At 42.9% G+C, this 23,251-nt stretch overlaps 1 protein-coding gene across 6 annotated transcripts in view, besides 3 other annotated features; it reads left to right on the top strand.

Moving 5' to 3' along the window:
- Positions 7,430–7,849: a silencer, noted in NCBI's record as "silent region_12922". NCBI's record gives its function as "represses an Ori minimal core promoter by ATAC-STARR-seq in GM12878 lymphoblastoid cells {active_cell/tissue: GM12878}" and the evidence as "EXISTENCE:reporter gene assay evidence [ECO:0000049][PMID:35858748]".
- The window catches only part of CHD6 (chromodomain helicase DNA binding protein 6), a 216,295-nt gene continuing 201,030 nt past the window's right edge, over positions 7,987–23,251 (top strand). For all 6 annotated transcript variants that reach the window (NM_032221.5, XM_047440549.1, XM_047440545.1 and 3 more), the window contains exon 1: positions 7,987–8,024. The gene's annotated coding sequence lies outside the window, so the exon portion shown is untranslated. The remainder of the gene's footprint in view (positions 8,025–23,251) is intronic.
- Positions 8,010–8,269: a silencer, noted in NCBI's record as "silent region_12921". NCBI's record gives its function as "represses an Ori minimal core promoter by ATAC-STARR-seq in GM12878 lymphoblastoid cells {active_cell/tissue: GM12878}" and the evidence as "EXISTENCE:reporter gene assay evidence [ECO:0000049][PMID:35858748]".
- Positions 8,460–8,679: a silencer, noted in NCBI's record as "silent region_12920". NCBI's record gives its function as "represses an Ori minimal core promoter by ATAC-STARR-seq in GM12878 lymphoblastoid cells {active_cell/tissue: GM12878}" and the evidence as "EXISTENCE:reporter gene assay evidence [ECO:0000049][PMID:35858748]".

Below are 23,251 nucleotides of genomic sequence, written 5' to 3'. Positions count from 1 at the left end.
TCAAAATAGCGGTAGTGCTATACATGGGTGAGAGTGAGAGCTCTGTGGCACTGTAAGAGTTAAATCAGTGAGATTAATACATGAGGGGTAGAGGCCATATATCAGTAGAAGGCACTCCAAAAGACAGAAGGTTCCCCAAGCCAAACACAAGAACAGAGATTGACTTCAGTTAAATCAATGGAATTAATATGTTTCAAAACCTGCAGGTCGACAAAGGGGGAAAGTCTATACAGAACACGGGGAAATGGGAGGCAGAGGAAAGGCTGCGATAATTATATATTAATAACCAATTTGTTGAGCAGTTGCCATGTGCAAAGCACTTTGCATGAATCATTTAATCCACACAACAACCCTATTATTGGAATCATGAAACTGTAAGTTAAGTGACTTTCTTTTTTTTTCTTTTTTTTGAGATGGAGTCTCACTCTGTCACCCAGGTTGGCATGCAGTGGCACAATCTTGGCTCACTGCAACCTCCATCTCGCAGGTTCAAGCAATTCTCCTGCCTCAGCCTCCTGAGTAGCTGGGATTACAGTGGTGTGTGCCACCAAGCCCAGCTAATTTTTCCATTTTTAGTAGAGACAGGGTTTCACCATGTTGGCCAGGCTGGTCTCAAACTCCTGACCTCGGGTGTTCCACCCACCTCAGCCTCCTAAAGTGCTGTGATTACAGGCATGAGCCACCATGCCTGGCCTGTTAAGTGACTTTCTTAAGGACACTAGTGGTAGAGCTGAGATTTGAACCACATCTGTAGGGCTTCAAAGCCTGTGGGCTTAACTAGTCTTATCCAGCTTTGTGCTGGAGAATGGAGCTTCTGGCAGGAGGATGCCTTGTGGCAGATTCACCCCTACAGTAGAGATACAGGGATTGGACCAGTGTAGTTCCAGAATACTGGCTATTAGCATCATCCCCTCAGTTCCAGGTTCCAGAAATCACCTTCTGATCATGTCTCCTCTTCCCACAGAGAGAGAACAAGGTCAGGGTCTGACAAGACAGGCTGGGCTGCTTGGCAGGTACAATTCTCAAGGGAACTAAAAAGGATATTTTTAAGATGTTTAATCATGAAATATTTCAAACATACAGAAAATAATATAAGAGATGGGCCGGGAGCAGTGACTCATGCCTGTAATCCCAGTGTGTGGGGAGGCCAAGGCAGAAGGATTGCTTGAGTCTAGGAGTTTGAGACCGGCCTGGGCAACACAGCAAGATCCTGTCTCTGAAGAAAAAAAAAAAGAGAGAGAGAGAGATGACTGAAAAGGTACCTTTACTGACAGTGCGTTGTGCTTGCTTCACAGTTTTCAAAAACTCTGAGAGATTAAAACACAGAGACTTTATCTAAGCACAAATAGGCCCAAGACCAGTGTGTCTATAAACTGGCTCAGACATGTTTGCAAGGGCAGCATTATTGGAAATAAGTATATGGCTTCTTAAGATATTACTTTGAAAGACAGAAATCAGAGTGACTACATTCTCACACACTTCAGAACTCAGCTCAAGGGCAGCTTTCCTGACCTCCTTGACAAAGGCAGATCCTTCTAGCATAATCTCTCACAGCATCTTATACCCCTCCTTTATAGCACACACTTACCACTGCTGTGATGTTACGTTTGTTCGCATGACTACTGGACTAATGCCTTTCTCTTCTATAGACTGCAAGCTCCATGAGGGCTGAGTTTGTGTCAAATTTTATTCACTACTGTATCCTTGGCATCTAGCACAATACTTGTCAGTAATAGGCACTCAATAAATGTCTTTTCAGTGAACGAATTCAGTTTTAAACACCAGTCTCCTTAGGCATCTACCCAAGAGAAATGACAACATATGTCCACACAAGGACTTCTACTTGAAGGTTTATAGCAGCATTATTCATAATAGTCCCAATGTGGAAACAATCCGAATGTCCATCATTTAGTAAGTGATAAATAAAAGGTGGCATATGCAGACAATGGAGTGGCATATGCAGACAATGGAATGCCATTCAAGCAATTTTAAAAAGTACAAACTGACAAAACACTCTACAACACAATGAACCACACAATTATTACATTAAATAAGCCAGACACAGAAGACTACATATTGTACTATTCTGTTTATACGAAATTTCTCAAAAAGGCAGAACTCCAAAGAAGAAAGCAGATCAATGGTTTCCCAGGCCTGGGGGTGGGAGTGGAGATTGACAGCAAGAGGGAACAAGGAACTTCTGAGGGTGACAGAAATATTCTAAAACTGGATTGTGGTGATGGTTGCACAACTGTATAAATTTACTAAACATCGTCAAACTGTATACTTGCAGTAAGCAAATTGTATGGTATGTGAATTATACCACAATAAAGCTGCTAAAAATGTTTAAAAAATCAATCTCCTTACTTAGTCATTTTATCCCAATTTAGGTTCTGTGGAACATTATTTCTGTGGGGCATTATGCCAGAAACTGCTAGTTGAGTCTCTCAACTCTTTAGTGACAGACCCAATTTTTAACTTGGCACATAGAAAAGCAAAATAAAAGACCAGATTTCCTAGCCTCCTTTGCAGCTTGGCATGGTCATGTGACCAAGTTCTGGACAATGAGACAAAAGTAAAATGTGTAGTATTTCCAGGAAGGTTGTTTAAGGGACTCAACTCCACTTTTTCCACTTTGCCTTTCCTTTTTCCTTCCAAGGACATGTAGACTGGTGCTCCAGCAGCCATCTTGGACCATGAAGTGACCTTGGGAATGAAAGCTAAGGATAATGGAGCAAAAACATTGAAGCCTGGATTCCTGAAGGTACCGGACAGCTGCCATGCCACCCCTGGACGGCCTGCTTCCCAAATTTCTTTTATTTAAGACAGAAATAAACTTTAATCTTATTATATCATTTTCTCATATTTATGCAGCCAAATTGAGTCCTAAGTGATACCAGTTTTTTTGTTGTTTTTTGTTTTTTGTTTTGTTTGTTTGTTTTTTTGAGATGGAGTCTCACTCTGTCGCCCAGACTGGAGTGCAGTGGTGCAATCTCGGCTCACTGCAAGCTCCCTTTCCCAGGTTCACGCCATTCTCCTGCCTCAACCTCCCAAGTAGCTGGGACTACAGGCGCCCACCACCATGCCCGGCTAATTTTTTGTATTTTTAGTAGAGACAGGGTTTCACCATGTTAGCCAGGATGGTCTCGATCTCCTTACCTCATGATCCACCCACCTCGGCCTCCCAAAGTGCTGGGATTACAGGCATGAGCCACCGCGCCTGGCCGTGATACCAGTTTTAATAGGTGTTCAATGAAAAAAGGGTTCTGTGGTCAAATAATTTTGAGAACTATTACATTAAACTTTAACAGATTTCATTAATGTAGGACCTCTCAGGGTTTTTAATATGTGAACAGAAATCTCCAAGAACCTCCAGGAGGGGCTACAGTATACTCAACTTCCCAAACTAACTTGTCCCCAAAACCTCTTTTTAGTGGAACATCTTATGGGACAAATAACTTGGGAAGAATGAAATGCTGCTTTAAAAATTTTTTGTATTTCTGACTCTCCCTTTCTAATCCATCCTTTTCCAGGTAGCTAGAGAGATATTTGTTAAAGATAAACTTGATGACATCACATTCTTGTTTTAAATCCTTGAATGATTCCTGTAGGATAAATTTCAAACTCCTTCATGTAACATACAAGACTTTTTGTGATCTGACCCTTGCCTTCTCTCTAGCCTCACCCTAACCATATCCATGACCCTTCTGCTGGGCTGAGAACAGACTCTATTTTCCCTAGTTTCTCTACCTCTACACATGCTACACCTCCTTCATGGAACACTTTCCACTTGCCACCTTGCTTGGCATTCTACCTCTGATCTTTAAGACCAGGCTCAAGTATCAGCTCATTCACTCTTGTCCATATTTCAAGAAATGCCTACTATGTGCCACGCATTGCAATTGTGCTTGAGTTACAAGCACAGTCCCTGCCCTGGAGTGACACGGAATCACATGAAGTTAGACAAGTACTGTATCAGACAGGTAACAGACAACCTTCACATTTCAGTGACTTGACACTGTGACATTTTATCTCTTGCTTACAACACAATCCAGTGCAAGTGAGCACAGACGTTCTAGTCCATGCAGTGAGCCACCACTGCCATTTTCTGGGGCCTCTGAGTCCTCCACTCAATATTTTTGCATCTGGCCAGGAATGAGGAAAGGAGAAGTTTGAAAGATCTCACGGGAGTTTTTGGGGGATGTCCAGAAATGGGATATATTTACCACTTCTGTCCAGATTCCATTACCCAGAGCTCAGTCACATGGGCCTACCTGATTACTGAGAAATGTAATTTTTTTATGAGCCTAGGAGGAAAATGAAATGGGCTGGTGAAAAGAGTTGTTTTTCCTGTCACAGATATATTAACAAGAACAATAAAGAAGCTCATGGTCTAATAGAGGAAACAGACAAGTGAACACAGGCATGAAAGCAAGAGAGAACAGATTCGGGTGGGATGCAACTCTTCTTTTGTGGAGTTACTATAAGAAAGTTCCAGAACTGCTGGAAGCCCTTCTGTGGCTCCCTTCAGAGCTCTCAAGGATTGCTTTTCTGGGGCCCTTTGGAAATGGGGCACACTATATGGTACAAAAATTTTTGCATCACTGGCATCACCCTTGTAGCATCAATCATCTTTCATTCCAGCAGCTGCTGTGGCATCAAGCTCTGCGTGGGCACCATCTGACTTCACACAGCTGCACCCTGACAGCACTTTGCCTTGTGGCCCTGCCATGTGCCTCTTGCTAGGTTCCCTGTTGACACTGAGTTTTGGGACACTGCAGAAGCCCACTTGGCACCTATGCATGAACAACTGGTATGAGTCTTTATCCAATGAGATGAGCTGATGGATAAATTTCCTTCCCTTCCCCCTCCCATAGGCTATTCTGAGACTCATTTTATATTTCTCAGAGGATAATCCCTTGAGCAGAAGCAATCAGCCATACTTAGTGGAGGCCAGATTAATAACCATCCTGGTACTGGCTCTTCCTTCGCCTCCACTTTACTCCTTTTGCTTTACTCCTGCCCTGTAGAATCAGGCTCTGTTTCTGGAGACGCAGGCGAAGACACTGCCATGAATGGGTATAGCTAAAAGCAACTTAGCTGTCTCTGTTTCCCTTTCCCCTTCAGTTCCTCCCCACTGGTTCCTGGTGAAGTACCTTGGGTCAGACTCCACTAACTCCTCTCAGTTCTGCAGACCTGATTCTCACTGGATAAGGTCAAGCCTGCCACTTCTCCTAAATGTAGTCCCCAGACCATTCCTTTGCTTGTACCTGTCCCACTTATTTGTGAATCAGTCATATACTTCTATTGATTTCTTTTTTGGTGACTTAATATTGTGTCTCTGTGTATATCTAACTTCTTATGTGCTACTGACTTTTCTCAATGTTTAAGAACAGCAATTACTGACAAGTCCACCTTCCATCTTCCTCTTGCTCTCACACCTCCCCAGGCTGCCTCTTGCATTGGTATATACATACTGCTCTCTCTGTCTAGAGTCCCACCTCATTTATGTTATTTCAATTTTTGTAGGCAAGAGACTTTATTATGCAAAGGGAGGGCCATGTGACTCCCACATAGGACCCACCAAAACTGTCTGATAAAACTCTGCTCCCTGGCCAGGCGTGGTGGCTCATGCCTGTAATCCCAGCACTTTGGGAGGCCGAGGCGGGCGGATCACGAGGTCAGGAGATCGAGACCATCCTGGCTAACATGGTGAAACCCCGTCTCTATTAAAAATAAAACAAAATTAGCCAGGCGTGGTGGCGGGCGCCTGTAGTCCCAGCTACTTGGGAGGCTGAGGTGGGAGAATGGCATGAACCGAGAAGGCAGAGCTTGCAGTGAGCCGAGATCGCACCACTGCACTCCAGCCTGGGCGACAGAGCGAGACTCCGTCTCAAAAACAAAACAAAAAAAACAACAACTCTGCTCCCAAACTCTTTCAAGACATGAGAGCCAAGACTCCCATGGGCACTGTTGAGAGCTTTGGAACCTGTGATTCTGGTGTTTGAGCTGGAGAGGTTGTGGCTACCAGCTGCCTGGTCCTACCTCAGCTTCAGCTTCAGCTCCTGAAGCAGCTGGTTCAGAAGGTCAAGCATGCTGTCCCCAAGAGGCAGCAGCAGGCGAGTAGCCCTCAGTATACTCACTCACCAGCAGCTTGGCAAAATTGGAGATCCTCAGGATCTATGCGTAACTCTCTATCTCACCCTCAACTGGATTGTAAGCTCCTTGAGGGCAAAGATATTATTTGTCTTGTTTAATGCTGCATTCCTTGTGTCTAGAACAATACCTGGAACATAGTTGGTGCCTAATAAATATCTGTTTAAGGGAGGAAGAAAGACAAGAAAGAAAGACCATAAGACATCTTGGCCAGCCTTGAGTCAAATGACAGAAATGCACACAGATGAGAGAGATAGGCAGCAGGGGGCTGCTGCCTCTGTTTTCAAGCTGGAGAAATCTCTTGTGTCTGCCAAGAAGTGAAGAGTGTTACTCAGAAGAGAGTTAGGGCCACAGGCTGAAAGCCATCAGAAAACTGGGATTTCAAAGAAGCTAAAAATATTCTCTCTCTGGAGTTAGTAAGCCTCTGCTAAATCATTATCATGGCCCCTGACACAGTCAAAATGTGCTTATCCTAAATGTATCCCACAAACTGCTCTTAGAATCATCAGACTCAGATCATTTCTGCTTTGAGGTAGAATGAGCCTCTACAGTCAGAATCCAATCAGTTTTTTAGTGGGTGCTTAGAAAACACGATGGGCAAGCAGGGCGCGAGGAGGGCTGGTGACTGCCAAGGTTAGGGTGGGAGGGGGCAGTAATGAGACGCCATACAGAGTATTCAGCCAGGCAGGGCAAACTCTCCATACCTCCTTTCATAATTTAGGAATTTCCTAATTCCTAAACCCTGGTCTAATTTCCCTTCTTCTTCCATCTATTTTCTTTACAGCATTTATCACTACCTACCCCTTGTATTTAGTCTTTCGCCTATTCCATGAAAGCAAGGGCTTTGTCTTGTTGACCGCAATATCCCGTTTTATATCAATGTCTGGAATTTAGTGGGCACTCAAAGATTACCTGCTAACGAATGAATTCGAGAGTGTAACAATTAGTTGAATCTCTGCCAAACACTGGGCCCTGTCCTTGAGGATGCTACAAGGATGGTAGGGGCGACAGGCCCGAAAATAAATGCACCATAGCTCGACACCTGATTTCACGGAGATCTATCCAAGGCGCTGCAGGGTCCCCGGGGCTGGAAAACTCCCGGGTGCGCTGGGCCTTGGGAAGAAGCCCGTTGGGAGCCAGGAGTACCAGGGAGCCGGGCTGAGCGGCAGAAGACGCGGGTGGAGGCTGCTCCGTTCGCTTGGCCACTCAGGATCTTCTTTTCCTGACCTGCGGGTCCCTCGCTTCTCCTTGCATCTGCCCGCGTGGCCTCGGCCCCTGCGGAACCCCTGTGTCGCGGGACCCCAGCCACATCCTCCCCCACCCCCGGAGACGCCAGCCCCGGGTCTTCCAGATCACTAGCCAGCTACCTGAGAGACCTCCACCTGGGCGCTGAACCCCCGCCGGCGCCCGAGCGCGCCAGGTCCCCGCCCCCTGCCTGCGATCTGCAGCGTGCAGGACCCCGCCCCGCCCCCTCGGCCCGCGGGACCCCGGCCCCGCCCCGCCCCCGTGGCCCTGCCGCTAGTCCCGGGGGGGCGGGGCCGAGCGCAGCGGCGTCTCCAAGGCGGGGGGCACGAGGCAGGGGGCGGGGCGGTCTCAGCGCCGGCCAATCAAGGCCGCGATCACATCCATGCAAATACGAGCACAATGGAGCGAGCCCATCACTCGCCCCTGCAAGCAAGCTTGAAATGGGCTTCTGTCTGAGCGGCAGCCGGGATGACCAATGGGTCTGTGTTTTGGACCGGCGAAGCCCAATGGCGCGACAGGGAAGGCGGGCCCGAGATGGGTTAGGGTGTCCTTGCAGGGTGTCTGAGCTAAACTTCACCAAATAATAGCTGTTTGTATTTTGGCTGCTGCAGGAGCCATTTTAGGTAAGTTCTTCTCTTAACTTTTTATTTTCCTCCCTGGCCTCGGCGGACCGGCCTTGTCCGCGGGTCCCCGGCCCCGCCCCGCCGGCCGGGTTAGGGTGCCCCTATGAATGGAGCCGGGATGAGGGGCTGCGGCGGCGTCCAGGCCCGGCCGGGCTGGGGTCCGAGCGGGGCCGGCGGGCGGGCGGCCTGGCGGAGGGCAGGCGGCGGCCTGCGGCCTGGGGAGAGGGGCGGCCTCTGCCACGCCAGGCTACTGCTCCCGCTCCCGCTTTCGCTCGGGCCGGGCGGCCGTCCTTGGGAGTGCGCCGCTGCGGGCCGCGCGCAGGGGCGGGGGTCCGGGCAGACCCCGGCCGCGGGCCTGGCGGGCGGGGGCGGGGCGTGCCGAGGCCCCCCCCGGGGCGGGCGCGGTGGGACCCCCGGGCCCAGCCGCGCTGGGGCGGGGCGGGGGTGACCGCTATTCCCGCCGCCGCCCCCGCGGAGAAGTTGCTCTATTCGCGTCCTGCGTCTGTTTGCAGGGGTGGAGGAGGGTGGGCTGGTGCCAGGCTGCTGTTCCGGGAGGGGGCGGGGGCCCCTGCGCGGCCTCGGATCGCGCACCCCCTCCGCCCCCTTCTTACGCACTAGCGCGCACTCGCCCCGAAAATTGGAGCCCAGGAGGGGTCCTGCAACCCCGCTGCCAAGTTTTGTGCATTATTAGATCGCATGTTGGAGCTTTAAAAAAAGATCTATCTGTCCTCTTCAAGGTATTTATTTTCCTCGCTGTTGAGAAGTAACGGAGTCCGTTGCGCCCAGATTTCCAGGGACATGCCTATCGGATGTGCAGAGGGTTGGCAGCTACTTGGTTTTTTTTAAAGGCGTTATTAGGAAATCCCCTCACTAGTGAGATAATTGAAATTTGAGTTTGTTTGCAGCTTCAGTTTTATTTGATACAATTAAAAATGCATAAGCAGGCACTTTATATTTGTGTACATAAAGTATTCCTAGTTCCAGTTATGACTAATGTGACTGTGGTTTCAGTCGTGTGGGATCTAATAAGGCAGTATAATTCAATTTTGAGCTCGTAGGACCCTGTTCTCCAAATTAGGGTTTATGGACCATTAGTAATCTGGCCAAGGTTTCTGGTGAATCCTTGGCATCTCTGAGCATCTCTCTGGGGCTGTGTGTGTGCCTTATTTCCCACCCCCTGAAAACTCCTCGTTTCTGCTGGCAGATCCACGAACACAGAAAATACACATTTTAAATATTTACAGTTTTCAGGATGTCTGAAATATTGCCTGAAATTTGATTATTGTTTCCCAGATGGTATGTAAGAGTACCATCCCAATGGGCCCCCAATTTTGATGTACTTTGTGGAAATATGTTTGTGGCGTTTGGGGAAAAAACACCGGGGCAGACCACTCGGTTTTGCTCCCTAGGCTGATGTGAGCTGTGTAACTTATTGGGGGTCTGTCCCATTGATTTCATGGCACAGTCGAGTTTGACTGTCAGCCAAATTGGAAAATCAGGTTGGCAACCTCAGAGAGAGAGTTTTTGTGAACTTTATGGCTCTCTGGCAACAGAAAGAAGATTTGAGATCTGTGTTTGATAAAATGATTAGGCATGAATCCTCAAGTAACATGATTTATGCCAAGCAGAGCAGGTGGTTTCATATAAGCAATGCATCTTTATAACCAAAGGCCTTGGGAAAATGCGGAGTGGTAAGATTATTAATTTTGGAGTTATTTTTGTTCCAGGGCAGATTTCATAGATGAATTATAAGTTCTTTTGAATTTAAACATTTTTCTTGATTAGTGGGTGACTAAAAGCTATCCTGCACACATCTTTCCCCACCGTTTTGTTTGCTTTGGAGTCTCTCTAATAGTAACCAGACCATAGTACTGTTCTTGGTGTAGTCTGGCCATGGGCGAAGTAAATCTAGATCTGTTGCGAAATTGAGTTGTGCTTCAGTGTGGTATCACAGTCTTCCTGGAGTCACGTTTTTTATTCTGCAGCTATTTCTTTGCTTTTCACATTTAGCTCTTCTGTTACATTTAATAGCACTGCAAACTCTTTCAATATGATCATTTTTACAACTTTTAAATATTCTATATCTTTATAATTTTTATAATTTATTATTCATGTAGTTGGGGAAGTTCTCTGAACTCATCAGTGTATTAGTTAAGGCAAACCACACAAAAATTGAAAGACAAGTTAGAAGTGAAGTGGGAGAAATACGACTAACTGCTGCATTTCTGGAAGAACCTTTGGCAGTTATGTTTTTGTATTTATTGATTTACTTTTTGTATATTTCAAATACCAAAGAAAACCTGAAGCAGAATCATATCTCATTAGAAGCCACATCTTATTTGTGATTTTGCTGTGAAATTGCAGAAAACCTATCAGAAACAACAGGCGGCCCTTGGGCTACTATGTGTTGGAGAGCTCCTTGGTTTATAAAAGTTTTGAAGAAATGTTTTGGTTTTCTTGGAAGTATGGCTTTGCCCGAAGCAGCGTTTGTGGTTATGTCTTCCTGTGTTATACCATGAGGTTCCACAACATCAGGCTTGATTCTCCCTGTAGGTGCCTATGTTTTTCATGGAAAGACTTTAATTGGTAATTACTAAATGAGATCACTCATGGACCACCCATGTTCTGAATCTCTTTGAACAAGTTTAAGGATTCAAAGATTCTACCTGCAGAAATATCTTTGGTATAGGACAATGACAGTATATACATATCAACTGAGGAGGCTGCACTCTACTTCCCTCCTTCCCCTTTCCCCGCCTGGTATAAGAAGGCTTGAAATAGTTTTGTTTTTAATACATATTTAATGATTCTCTTATACTTCATTGCTCATGCAGAGCTTTAGTTTAATTCAAGTGAAAGGTGGAGTGAATTCCATAGGATTGCCTGCATTCTCCTGTACCAGGTTATTATATTGAAAACTCTTTGAAATACATAAAATGATAGCCAGAGCTGAGATACCTCTTCCCTAGAGAACTTTTTTTTTTTTTTTTGCAATGGAATGTGACATGCTTGTGAGTGGAGCAAAAAGAACTAGCATTGATTGAATACCTGGTGTTTGTCCAGTACTCAGCCAGATACTGGGGCTACAGAGTTGGGAAAAATATCTTTGTTTTCATAGCCACTTCGTGAGACTGGGCTGCAGCTCAGAGAAATGAAGTAATTTATTAAAGGCCATAAAGCTAGTCAGTGATAGAGCCAGAATTTGACCCTGATCATCTGTATCCAATACATGTCCTTTTCACCAGTAGTTCTCTCTAAAGATTTTTTTTAAAAGCTCAAGCGTACTGTTGTATTTTAGTGGTATGGTGTTAGGTTAATTAGCTAACACACCTTCCCTAAGTTCTACACGTGCATCCATTTTTACTTTTCCGTTTCAGGAATTTGTCACTGAAGAGGAGTGTTGGAATACAGTGAGGACACCCTTTTCCCCACTTTTGTCTCCATGGAGTAGGAGTGGTCTTCCTGGGGCACTTAGGAGTTCAGGTGTACCCTGGTACAGTAATAACCATGAAGTGCAGAGGGAGAACGCAGTCACTTTTTCCTTTGCCAAAATGTTCTTTTCTTTGGTTCATGTTGTGGAGGCGTTGATACCCTCATGAGAAATTCTGTTACTTCCATAAAAGTCCTGAAGGTAGTAAAATGGAGTTATTTTAAAATATCCATGCTTGTCCCTGTTTCTGAACTAAATCATCTGCATAAAATCCAAAGAAAAATGTTTGTTTTTGCCTGTAGTACCTGTATTTGTTGGTTTTTATAGTCAGTAAATAGTGATTCTGTGCATCCTCTTACATTTATTCATTATGTTGTTTGCCATCACTGTTCTGTTTTGCAACCTTTAGAATTTGTAATGGGGTGTATATGATGTAACTTAAATAGCTCCTATTTTGAAGAATCAGGATTTTTTTTTGAATTGATGAACCTTTTTTCTTTATAGTCATAATGAAGGACTTAGAAATTTTAGCAAGGAACAAACCTAAGTTTTCAACGGACTCCCATGGTGCTTTTGTTATCTATTTCAAAAGAGTTTAATATACTAAGACAGTATTTGAAAATTTCAGGATGCTGGGAAGTAGAATTGTAAGATAACCAGGACAGGAATCCAAACATAAGTAGAAAGTGATGGATGCATATTTGAATTTTCTAAATAAGTAAAGGGAGATTTCCATTTTTTTACCCCTTTATTGAGGATACTTATAAGGGATAGTCGCTGATCGCATTTTATGGATCAAATATGTTATTCTTTATCAAGTAGTTAAATTTTTAATATATTTTGGATTTTCTTATATACTATGTGACCAAGGTATTTTGGTTTTAGATTTTTTTTTTTTTTATACTCTAAGATTGTTTTTATGTAAAAGCCTGGCTTCAGGTTAAAAGTTCCAGCTACTGTAGTAACAGACATCTTTACTTCCTACCTAAAGGTTTAAGCTTTTTATCCTGCAGTTCGTGGACCCCTAGGGAGTCTTTGGCTGGTCTGTGAACGCCCCAAAATAGTATGCAAATTTTTGTTTGCATCTGCGTATTTTATAGGCGGACAATCCATTGTTTTTTATGATTCTCAAACGGATCTGTGCCTCTCATACCCCTATCGCCATACCTTTCCACCAGCATACAAAACATACTAAGGATCATTAATTTAGGTCATTCTAGAACAACTGCTTTGCATGAACAAAATCTTCTGCCTGGATGCTGACTTCTTTGGACCTTTTTTGTCCTTTAGCAGTCTCAGCCTTGATCACTTGGCCTGGGCTTGGGGAAGAACTGCATCCCTCTGGCAGCATTCAGGCATTCCCTGGGGTTATCCCCCAAATTCTTCCCTCGCTGTGATCACATGATCACATGGAAGCCATTCGTTGCCCTTGCCCTTGCAGCCTGATAGAGTTAAAGGTTGGAGTGGGAGACATGGAGGCTCTTAGAGGGTCCTCAGCCTCTCTTTTTCACACATCTGCCTCTGCAGATGGGACTAGAGGGGAGGCCATGGCAAATGTGCCTGACATTTTCTTGCTTTGAATACTGCTTCTTACTAATTCTGCTATTGCTTCATTCAATATGTTAGGAGGAAAAGGGTTTTTCTTTCTTACATTGAAGAAGAAGAATTAAAAGAAGCCCTCCATTTTTTTATATTCCCCAGACTTTTATGAAATGCTTTGCAACTTCCATTAGTGCTAATTTTTAGTGGAGTTCTTCCTTAAAATAATGTGTAGTTGAACATAAAAGCTTATTTTTAGACTGCTAAAAATTTTACAGAGAACATACATATAAAACCAGGTGTTATTATATAAAAAGGATTTTATATTAAAGTTCTCAGAGCCTTATTATTTACTTAATAAGTCAAGCAAATTGCCAAAACAATATTAGAGTAATGAAAAAATTCTGAGAGTAACTCTAGGAGGTGGTCAAACTTAAAGTTATTCTGGAGATTTTTTTTGTTGGGCCAGACCAGAAGTTGAATAGAAGAAAAATCAGTTTATTTTGTTTAATAATAGATAATAATAATTAGATTAGGGAAAATACCTAAGCTTTAGGCAGATTGCGAAGGGCATTGACTTGATTATTTGGTTTGTTCCTTCCTTAAGTGTATATGAGTAAAGAAATATATCTGGACTCTATCTACTTTGGGTCCAAGAAAAACTATCAGTATTCTAAGAAATACTTTGAAGGATTATGTCTGGTAAGCTAAGTCTAGATCATAGATTTTATTTACGGAAAGAATTTTACATAATTTAACACAGAGACTTTATTATAGCTCATTGTGTATTTTGGCTTAGAAATTCTTGCACTGCTGGCAGTCTAAATTCAACTATGGGCTTGCATGAAAAAGTTAAGCCATCATTATTGTTGATCCTGTGATAGAATCAGATCACATTGTAAGTGATGACACCATTAGATTGCTTCTTTAAGCAAACCTGGTATAATATCACTTAAGGGATTTAGGGGTATTTTGCTTAATGGAATTAACAGTTTTGCCTTGAGTTGTAAAAATGCATTGAGGAAATGATAGAGGATATGAAAGAGGTCATTAATGACCAGCTCCAGAAAGATAAGTGTAAAAATGTAAAAAAATAAGCTCTTGTGAATCAGGCTACTGAAAGTAGTCTACAGATTCCTGCAGATCTGTGGTCTGCTTACCTGTCTGACAAGGTGAGTACAGAACTTGAAAAGAAGCATGTAGATGCTTTTATAGCAGATGGTTAGAAAAATGGTTTGTTGAATCTAATTATAAAAACAGTTTATAATTGTAGTCCTTTTTTGTTTATTTTTTCCTGGAAATTCATTTTTCTGGTGTTTTATGAAAGTCTTGGCCATAGATTGGGAAAGAGCAAAACCAAAAACTACTTCTTCACTAATCAAAGTGTTGGGAAACTTCAGCATTACTTTGGAGCATGTTAGAAATGCAAGTTTTGCCAGGTGCGGTGGCTCACACCTGTAATCCCAGCACTTTGGGAGGCCGAGGCAGGTCGATCACCTGAGGTCAGGAATTCAAGACCAGCTTGGCCAGCATTGTGAAACCCTGTCTCTACTAAAAATACAAAAATTAGCCAAGCATGGCGGCATGTGCTTGTAATCCCAGCTACACCAGAGGCTGAGGCAGGAGAATCGCTTGAACCGGGGAGGCGGAGGTTGCAGTGAACTGAGATCCAGTGAACTGAGATCACGCCATCGCACTCCAGCCTGGGTGACAGAGTGAGACTCTGTCTTAAAAAAAAAAAGAAATGCAAGTTTTTGGGCCCCATTCCAGACCTACTGAAATAGACCACCTAGGGTTCCCAGGAGTCTGTGTTTTAACAAGCTATGCTGATGATTTTGTGCACATCAAAATTTGAGAAACATTGTTCTAGATCAGCACTGTTCAGTAGAACCTCCTGTTATGATGGAGGTGTCCAATATCTGCACGGGAACTACTAGCCACTGATGGTTTTCAAGCCCTTAAGATGTGGCTAGTATGACCGAGGATGAGAATTTTAAATTTTATTTAATATTAGCTTCAATTTAAATAGCCATACATGGCCAGTCGTACCAGTATTAGACAGCACAGCTCTAGACCCTTTAGCATTTCTACCCTTTTTGGAGCAAAGGTGGATTTTTTTCTGTGTCTGTGAAGGAAAATATAATAGGAAACAAGATTGTCCTTTAACCTAAAATGAGTCTAAGCAAGCCGTATAATAAAAATTGATAGTTATTTATCTATTTATATTTGCCTCTTTATTTTTATCTGAAAGTTGATTTGAATGTTCAGAAAATAGTAAGATCAGAGAATAAATTTAGATGTGTCTTGTAAGGCTTTACAAAAAGCAAGGCAGCTGTTCCAGCGGGGACTTATGACCCTTCCTGTCTATTACTAACATGCATGATGTCTTTCAACATGACTTTTGAAGCTTTTTTCTTTCATACTAAGATTGAAGATAGGCAGCTTTTAAGTATAACACTGTAGTTCTCCTGTTCTCAATACAAACTACTGACTATAGGGTTTCCCATTACTTTAGACCAGTAATGGATATTTTTACCATACAAAGTATTTCAGGTTTATCTATCAATTAACTTTATTTATTTATTTATTTATTTATTTATTTATTTATTTTTTGAGACGGAGTCTCACTCTGTCACCCAGGCTGGAGTGCAGTGGCGCGATCTCAGCTCACTGCAAGCTCCGCCTCCTGGGTTCAGGCCATTCTGCCTCAGCCTCCGGAGTAGCTGGGACTACAGGTGCCTGCAACCACACCCGGCTAATTTTTTGTATTTTTAGTAGAGACGGGGTTTCACCATGTTAGCCAGGATGGTCTCGATCTCCTGACCTTGTATTCCGCCCGCCTCGGCCTCTCAAAGTGCTGGGATTACGGGCGTGAGCTACCGCACCCGGCCTATCAATTAACTTTATGAAGGGAATCTTGTTTTTTTAAAATAACATTTACCAAGCCTCCCTTGAAAGACTGAGTCTTATCCTCTCCTCCCTTTCCAATATGTTTAAAAATTGATTTGTTAATAGAAGCAATTTCTTTGGTTCATTCGGGGTTGCATATTCTCCGTCTCCTCTCCCCATCTACTTGTAAATGGGGAATACAAATTTTAAACTCCTAAAAATCAATGATAAGATTGATTGTAGTATATTCATCAAAATCTATTGCAAAATTGAAAATTATGTTGTGATTGACAAGAAGGAGGAAATTACTGTAGAAATAAACATAGGCCGGGCACCAATGGCTTATGCCTGTAATCCCAACACTTTGGGAGGTGAGGTGGGCAGATCACTTGATGTCAGGAGTTCGAGACCAGCCTGGCCAACATGGTGAAATCCTGACTCTACTAAAAATACAAAAATTAGCCAAGCATGGTGGCAGATGCCTGTAATCCCAGCTACTTGGGAGGCTGAGGCAGGAGACTCGCTTAAACCCGGGAGGCGGAGGTTGCAGCGAGCCAAGGTCGTGCCACTGCCCTCCAGCCTTGGTGGCAGAGTGAGACTCCATCTCAAAAAAAAAAAAAAAAAAAGAAAAAAGAAAAAAAAAGGAAACACAGATCCACATGCAGAGTTGTAGCTTTAAAAATACTGTCCAGTCGTAACAAAGTGAGTCTAATCATACAGCAGTTTTATTAGATATATTTACCAGGTTTTAGATTTTCAAGCAGGAAATTGTTAGTCATTTAGGCAGTGACTCTTGAAGCATGAGAGACAGTAACGGGTGTCCTATGTGGTTTATAGACTCACAGAACATTAAAATTGGAAGGTTCCTTAAAAATCACGGATAGGGCTGCCAGTGTAGCAAAATTTATAATGCAGCAGTGTCTGTTTTGTTTATGGCATGAGTTAATGCTATATAGTCTCTCCTTGGTGTTCATTACAGATCAGCACTGTTTTCTCATTAATTCTGTTGTAAGGGTGGTTGTATACTCACAAAGCAGTGAGTGGCGGTAGGTTGTCTGGGCAGGTGCTTCTGTTTGACACAAGTGTCACTGATTATGGGGCACAACATTTTGTAACTTGCTGCTTTGGCTTTTTTGTCTGACTTTCTTCTAAGGATGTCAAGTTCTAGATCTCTGGGCATGTATTTTGTTTTTGTTTTTGTTTTATAGAAACTGGGTCTCTTACGTTGCCCAGGCTAGACTCATGGGCTCAAATGATCCTCCTGCCTCAGCCTCCTGAGTAGCTGGGACTACAGACATGCCACTGCACCCAGCTCTCTGGGCATGTATTTGAATTCTTGCTGTAGGGTTTTAAAGAAGTGGAAAGCCCAGTGTGCTGAAATTTAGATCTGATAGTTGGACAGATCCTAAGCTTAAAAGGTTTGGAGGTTCCTTACTTCAGGTTTGTTCTCATCACTGCCACTTGTCCTTGGAATGCTGTATGAGATGTTACTAAAATATTGTGATTTCATAAGCTACACACAAAATAACCACACTCTGTCCATTTTTATCTGCACTTTGTGTCTGCAGCATTTCATGTAGCAGAGCTCTCCCTGTGTGTTCTTGACTGTGTTGCATATTTACTCTTGAACTAAGTTTTGTTGTTGCCCTTATGAGTGTGGTTGTGGCAGATTTAAGTGTTATCGGGTCTTACACAGGTCACCATCATTACTAGATTCTCTGAAACCAAAGCTACTTTCTATCTTGTCGGGATTGCAGAAGAGTAGAGTTAGAAGGTACTTCTGAAGACATCTATCCATTTTCATTATTCATAATGGGATGGGGTCCTAGTCATGTAAATATTTGTGAGGTCACAGAGCTGATCTGTGGTCAAGCCTTGATTAGAATTCAATTTTCATTTTGCTGTATAGGACTTTTCCCTTAACCTCCAAGGATTAGGGTCCTGAAAACCCACGTAGGAGAATTTCCCTTAAAAATTCATGGGGGAAATATGGGATAGCTGTGCTCTGAGATTAGGAGTGAACATGTGAAAGGCTCCATAATTTTCTTAATGTTCTCTAAAATAATAAAGATACTATCAGTGAAATATTACATGTCTTAAATTAGTAAGAATGGGTATTTTAATAGCTCTTCTTTACTAGAAACGTTTTGGCACATCCCTCTCTCATATCGCGGTAAAATGCTTGTTGTACTATTTTGGTAAATCTTGTTTACTATTTTTTTGCTTAATGGAAACTTTTTGGCATATCCCTCCCTTTTATCACGGTAAAATGCTTGTAAATTAACCTTTGCTTTATTTTAAATAATGTGCATAAGATGTTTTTCACATGTGCTTATATGACTTAGGGTTATTAGGATAGATTTTTTCCCCAGATCCCTCAGTAATCATGATAATAATAGCTGTCAATCACTGAGTGCTTACTATGTGCCAGGTATGGTGCTAGACTCTTTCATCGTGTGGTCATTAGGACTCCAGTATTCTGGTTCTCTTCCTTAAGGACACATAGTAGGGTTACATTCTCTCTCACACCTTGAAATTGGGCATGGCTGTGTAACTTGCTTTGGATATTGACATTTCAGTGGAAGTGATGTGTGTCCCTTCTAGGCAGATACCTTTTCTTTTTAAAGAAATATGTAATGATTACATAGTGTAAGCAAGTAAACCTTTGCTTTAAAGCACTGAGCTTTTTTAATGAGGTGTTTTTTTTTTTTTTTTCCTGTGGAATGGTCTACTTTTGTACTGTTTCCCATGCTTATTGTTTTCTGCCCCTCCCTCTTGGCCCATCCAGATATTTTCCTTCCATGAGACTTGAGAGCAAGACCCGTGTCTTCATGGAGCCTTCTCTTTCCATATCAGCTTGAAGCAATCTCTCTCCCCACAGCACTTCTTGGGTTAGATTTTCCCTCTGTAACTAATTGGGCATTTCATATTGAATTGCCTTTGTCTTTTCTTATATTATTCATTTATTCCACAAGTGTGTGATGCCCATTTATTTAGCAAACAGTTATTGAAAATTCATTGTGTTTCAGTCATTCACGTGCCCTGGGAATGCACATGATCTCTCCCTTTGTGGAATGCACTTTGTGTTAGAAGAGACAGAAAGGTAAACTGCCACTACAAGCATCATGATCAATGTCAGATTAGAGCTATGTCCAAATTTTGTTAAGACTCAAGAAGAAGGATCAACCGTTAAGCCAGGGGAGTAGGTTAAGGCTTTTGAAAGGAAGACCTTTTAAATGGGTACTTGAAAATTGATTTGGAGTTTGATAATCAGAGACTGAGATTAGTGTTTGTGAGTTTGGAGAGCCTTTTATGCATAAGAAATGTGTTGCTGGGGGCTCAGAGGCAAATGATAAGTTCATTCTGGCTGGAGTATGGTGGAGAGCCATGGAGTACTGGTAGGTGAGGGGCTGGAGGAGGGATAGGTTGGAGATGTTGAGAAAGGCTTTAAAGATCGTGGTGAGTTGTTTGGGTTTGTGTTGGCTGTGAGGAGTCATCAGAGGTTTTAATGCAGGAAAGTGGTTTGTACTCTATACTCCAGCAGCAGAGGTTGGTTGAGTGGTGCTCAAACTTTGTTGTGTATTAGAATCATCTGAAGAGCTTATAAAAATACCAGTACCCAGGCTACAAACAGTAAAATCAGATTTTCTGAAGGAGAGGCCCAGATATTGGATTTTTGATAATTTCCCAGGTGATTCCAGTGCGTATCTGAGTTTGAGAACTACTCTTTTAGAGGGGTCTGATGGAGTAAGGAATTCAGAGGCTATTGCAGTGGACTGACTAGGAGATAAGTTTTTTTTTTTTTTTGAGATGGAGTCTTGCTCTGTTGCCCAGGCTGAAGTGCAGTGGTGCGATCTCTGCTCACTGTGACCTCCACCTCCTGGATTCAAGTGATTCTCCTGCCTCAGCCTCCTGAGTAGCTGAGATTACAGGCGCCTGCCACCACACCCAGCTAATTTTGTTTTTTTGAGACAGAGTCTCGCTCCGTCGCCCAGGCTGGAGTGCAGTGGCACGATCTCGGCTCACTGCAAACTCCACCTCCTGGGTTCACGCCATTCTCCCGCCTCAGCCTCCTGAGTAGCTGGAACTACAGGCACCCGCCACCACGCCTGGCTAATTTTGTTTTTGTTTTTTAGTAGAGACGGGGTTTCACCGTGTTAGCCAGGGTGGTCTTGATCTCCTGACCTCGTGATCTGCCCGCCTTGGCCTCCCAAAGTGCTGGGATTACAGACGTGAGCTACCACACCTGGCCAGTTTTTTGTATTTTTAGTAGAGACGGGGTTTCACCATATTGGCCAGGCTGGTCTCAAACTCCTGACCTCGTGATTCGCCTGCCTCAGCCTCCCGAAGTGCTGGGATTACAGGCATAAGCCACTACGCCCGGCCGAGATAAGTCTTTGAATTGAGGCATTAGCAGCTGGGACAAGGTGAGACAGAGTCAACCATTATTCTTTTCCTTCAGTGTTCTAAATGTTTGTCTTTTCCTACAAAATTGTGGTCCTCATGGGTGCATGGCCCATTCTTTGTACCTTGAATTCCTCATAGAGGTTTGTACATAGTAGGTTCTCAAAAACTGTTTGCCTGCATTAAAGTCAGTTTTCATTTGGTCAAGTATTCATACTTGAGTACTTTGGATATTTTCATTTCACTTCTTTCCTTTTTGTTATTAAATAGAATCTTCTTTAGGAATGAAAGTAGATAGAGATGAAATTTTGTCAATTTTACTAATAGTTCTGATTAAAATTAAAATTTACTAGTTAAAACAATAAGTCTTACACAATAAGTCTTACATGTGGTTTATCCATGCTGTCTCTCTGTATTAGCTATAAATAAGTAAATTTGCCATTAACCCTTGGTATTTGTGTAAAACTCCTTAGTACTAATACACCCTTTAAAATAAAGAATTCAGGTAAAGTATCCAACAACATATGGAAGGTTTATGTTAAAAATAACATCTAACTTGTGTTAATTTATATAATAACTCAGGAACTCAGTGTGGGATAGAGGCTGACTTGGTTTGTGCACTTGAAATTCAGTTTCTCTTTGGCAAATAAATTCCTTTATTTGTGAATGGGAATAGTATTAAAGAATGTTTTGAGGCATTTTTGAGTCAACTCTTTGTTCTCCATTCTAATGGAAGGGAGTTGGAACCTGTAGAAATTAAAAACATTTTTTATACTTAAAGGATTTATAGTCCTTTCTATCTTGAAAAGTATCAAACCTACAGACAGGTATGAGAACAATACCATGAACACCCATCCCCCCTTCACCTAGAACCACCTGTTATTAACATTTTGACAAATTTGCTTTATAACTTTCTGTCTCTCTATATATGACTTTTTTTGTGACAATACCATTTGAGAGTTACTTACAGACACAGTAATGCTTCACCCATAAATACTTTACATATTTATCCTAAGGAAAAAGGCATTCTCCTACATAGAATAATCACAGTGTAATTATATCACTCAGGAAACTTGATGTAAAACCCAATATGCAGTCCTTTTTAAAATTTTCCCATGAAAATGTTATTTGTAGCCTCCCCACCCCCAACTCCCTGTCCCCCATTAGGATCCAGTCAAGGATCCTGCATTGTATTACGTAGTCATGTGCCCATACCTTTCAGTATCAATTAGTTTGACCTGGTAGTCCGAGGATTCCAGAAATGGAAATGAAAACCCTTGGAAAATGGTGTGGCCCAGCTTCCTGAGCCTTCTTCCCTGCTTACCTCTTTCTGTGCTCCCCGCCACAGGTGGGGAATTGGTCTTCTTAGAGAAGATGGGTGGCAGAGTTCTAAAGTGGAACCTCACATCCAGTGCAGACGTGTTTGTTCAAATCTTCCTGAGACTTGGAGAGGCTTTATCTGGACAGTTATTTTCCGTTTTAGGATTAAGGCCATTTGAGTCACCCACATGCTTAGTTAAGAAATTGTGATAGTATTAATGAGACTAGGAAATGATTTTCATAGCCAACTCTAAGACATCTGCAACCTGAAGAGTTAGGAATCTTCTGCTATTCCTTGAGGACCACTGATTTTCATGACCAGTCATTATGTAGTTCCTGGGGTTTTAATTTTTAAAAAACTATTAAGGACTCCTCTAATCTTTAACTATTCCTCAGTCATATCTTATTGGTCTTATGTCCTTCTAGTTTTATACTCCTTCCTGGGCATGCTATTCTTTCTTGTTGTTTCAACTTTTGATGACTCTAGAATCTATTTTTCCATCCCAACCCTCTCCTGTGATCCAAACCTTTATTTCCAGCCATACACTCAGCAGCTCCACCTGCCTGTCCAAGTGCAAAACTGAACTCAGCATCTTTTTGTGTAAACCTGGGCACTCGTTGGATTGTTAAGCATGGGATGGAGAATGAGATGATATTCAACCAGGGGCCTAGGAACATGAGGATCACATTCTTTAGCAGCCCCTGTTCTCCCTGACACCCCCTACCTACCCACCCCCACCCTTCCTATACAAACACGCATGCGCACACATGCACACAGGAATAGGTGAACCCAGGGTAAGGCCTTGCTAACCCTGTCATTTCCAGCTGGATGTAGAATCTTGGGAGTTAGGCTTCATGAAATGAATTCTTTTTTGTTTTGTTTTGTTTTGGGACTGAGTCTTGCTCTTTTGCCCAGGCTGGAGTGCAGTGGCACGATTTCGGCTCACTGCAGCCTCTGCTTCCCCTGGGTTCAAGTGATTCTCCTGCCTCAGCCTCTCAAGTAGCTGGGATTACAGGTGCACACCGCCAAGCCTAGCTAATTTTTTTGTATTTTAGTAGAGACAGGGTTTCACCATGTTGCCCAAGCTGGTCTCCAACTCCTGAGCTCAGGCAATCCACCTGCCTTGGCCTCCCAAAGTGCTGGGATTACAGGCGTGAGCCACCGTGCCCAGCCCAAAATGAATTTTTTAAATTCAATGTTTCTCAACCTTAATGCCTTGAAATGAAGCATTCCAAAGGGTTTGCTAGCTCTCCTTACACAAGGAATTTACCTTAGGCCAGCTCCTGACTGCTGAAACTAGAGTTTTGTAATCTTGCAACCATAACTCATAGTGATAAAAACACTATATTGTGCCTAGTACACACACGTGTATATGTTTGCATTGTTAATTCAAAGGTTTTTTTCTTTTCTTTTCTGAGATGGAGTCTCACTCTGTTGCCCAGGCTGGAGTACAGTGGCATGATCTTGGCTCACTGCAACCTCCGCCTCCCAGGTTCAAAGCCTCAGCCTCCCACGGAGCTGGGACTGCTGGCACCTGCCACTCACCCAGCTAATTTTTGTATTTTTAGTAGAGACAGGGTTTCACCATGTTGGCCAGGCTGGACTCAAACTCCTGACCTCAAGTGATCCACCCACCTTGGCCTC

This window comes from Homo sapiens, chromosome 20 (assembly GCF_000001405.40).
Source record: "Homo sapiens chromosome 20, GRCh38.p14 Primary Assembly".
Lineage (NCBI taxonomy): Eukaryota > Metazoa > Chordata > Mammalia > Primates > Hominidae > Homo > Homo sapiens.
The sequence above is the reverse complement of the archived record's forward strand: the minus strand, read 5'-3'. Positions and strand labels throughout refer to the sequence as shown.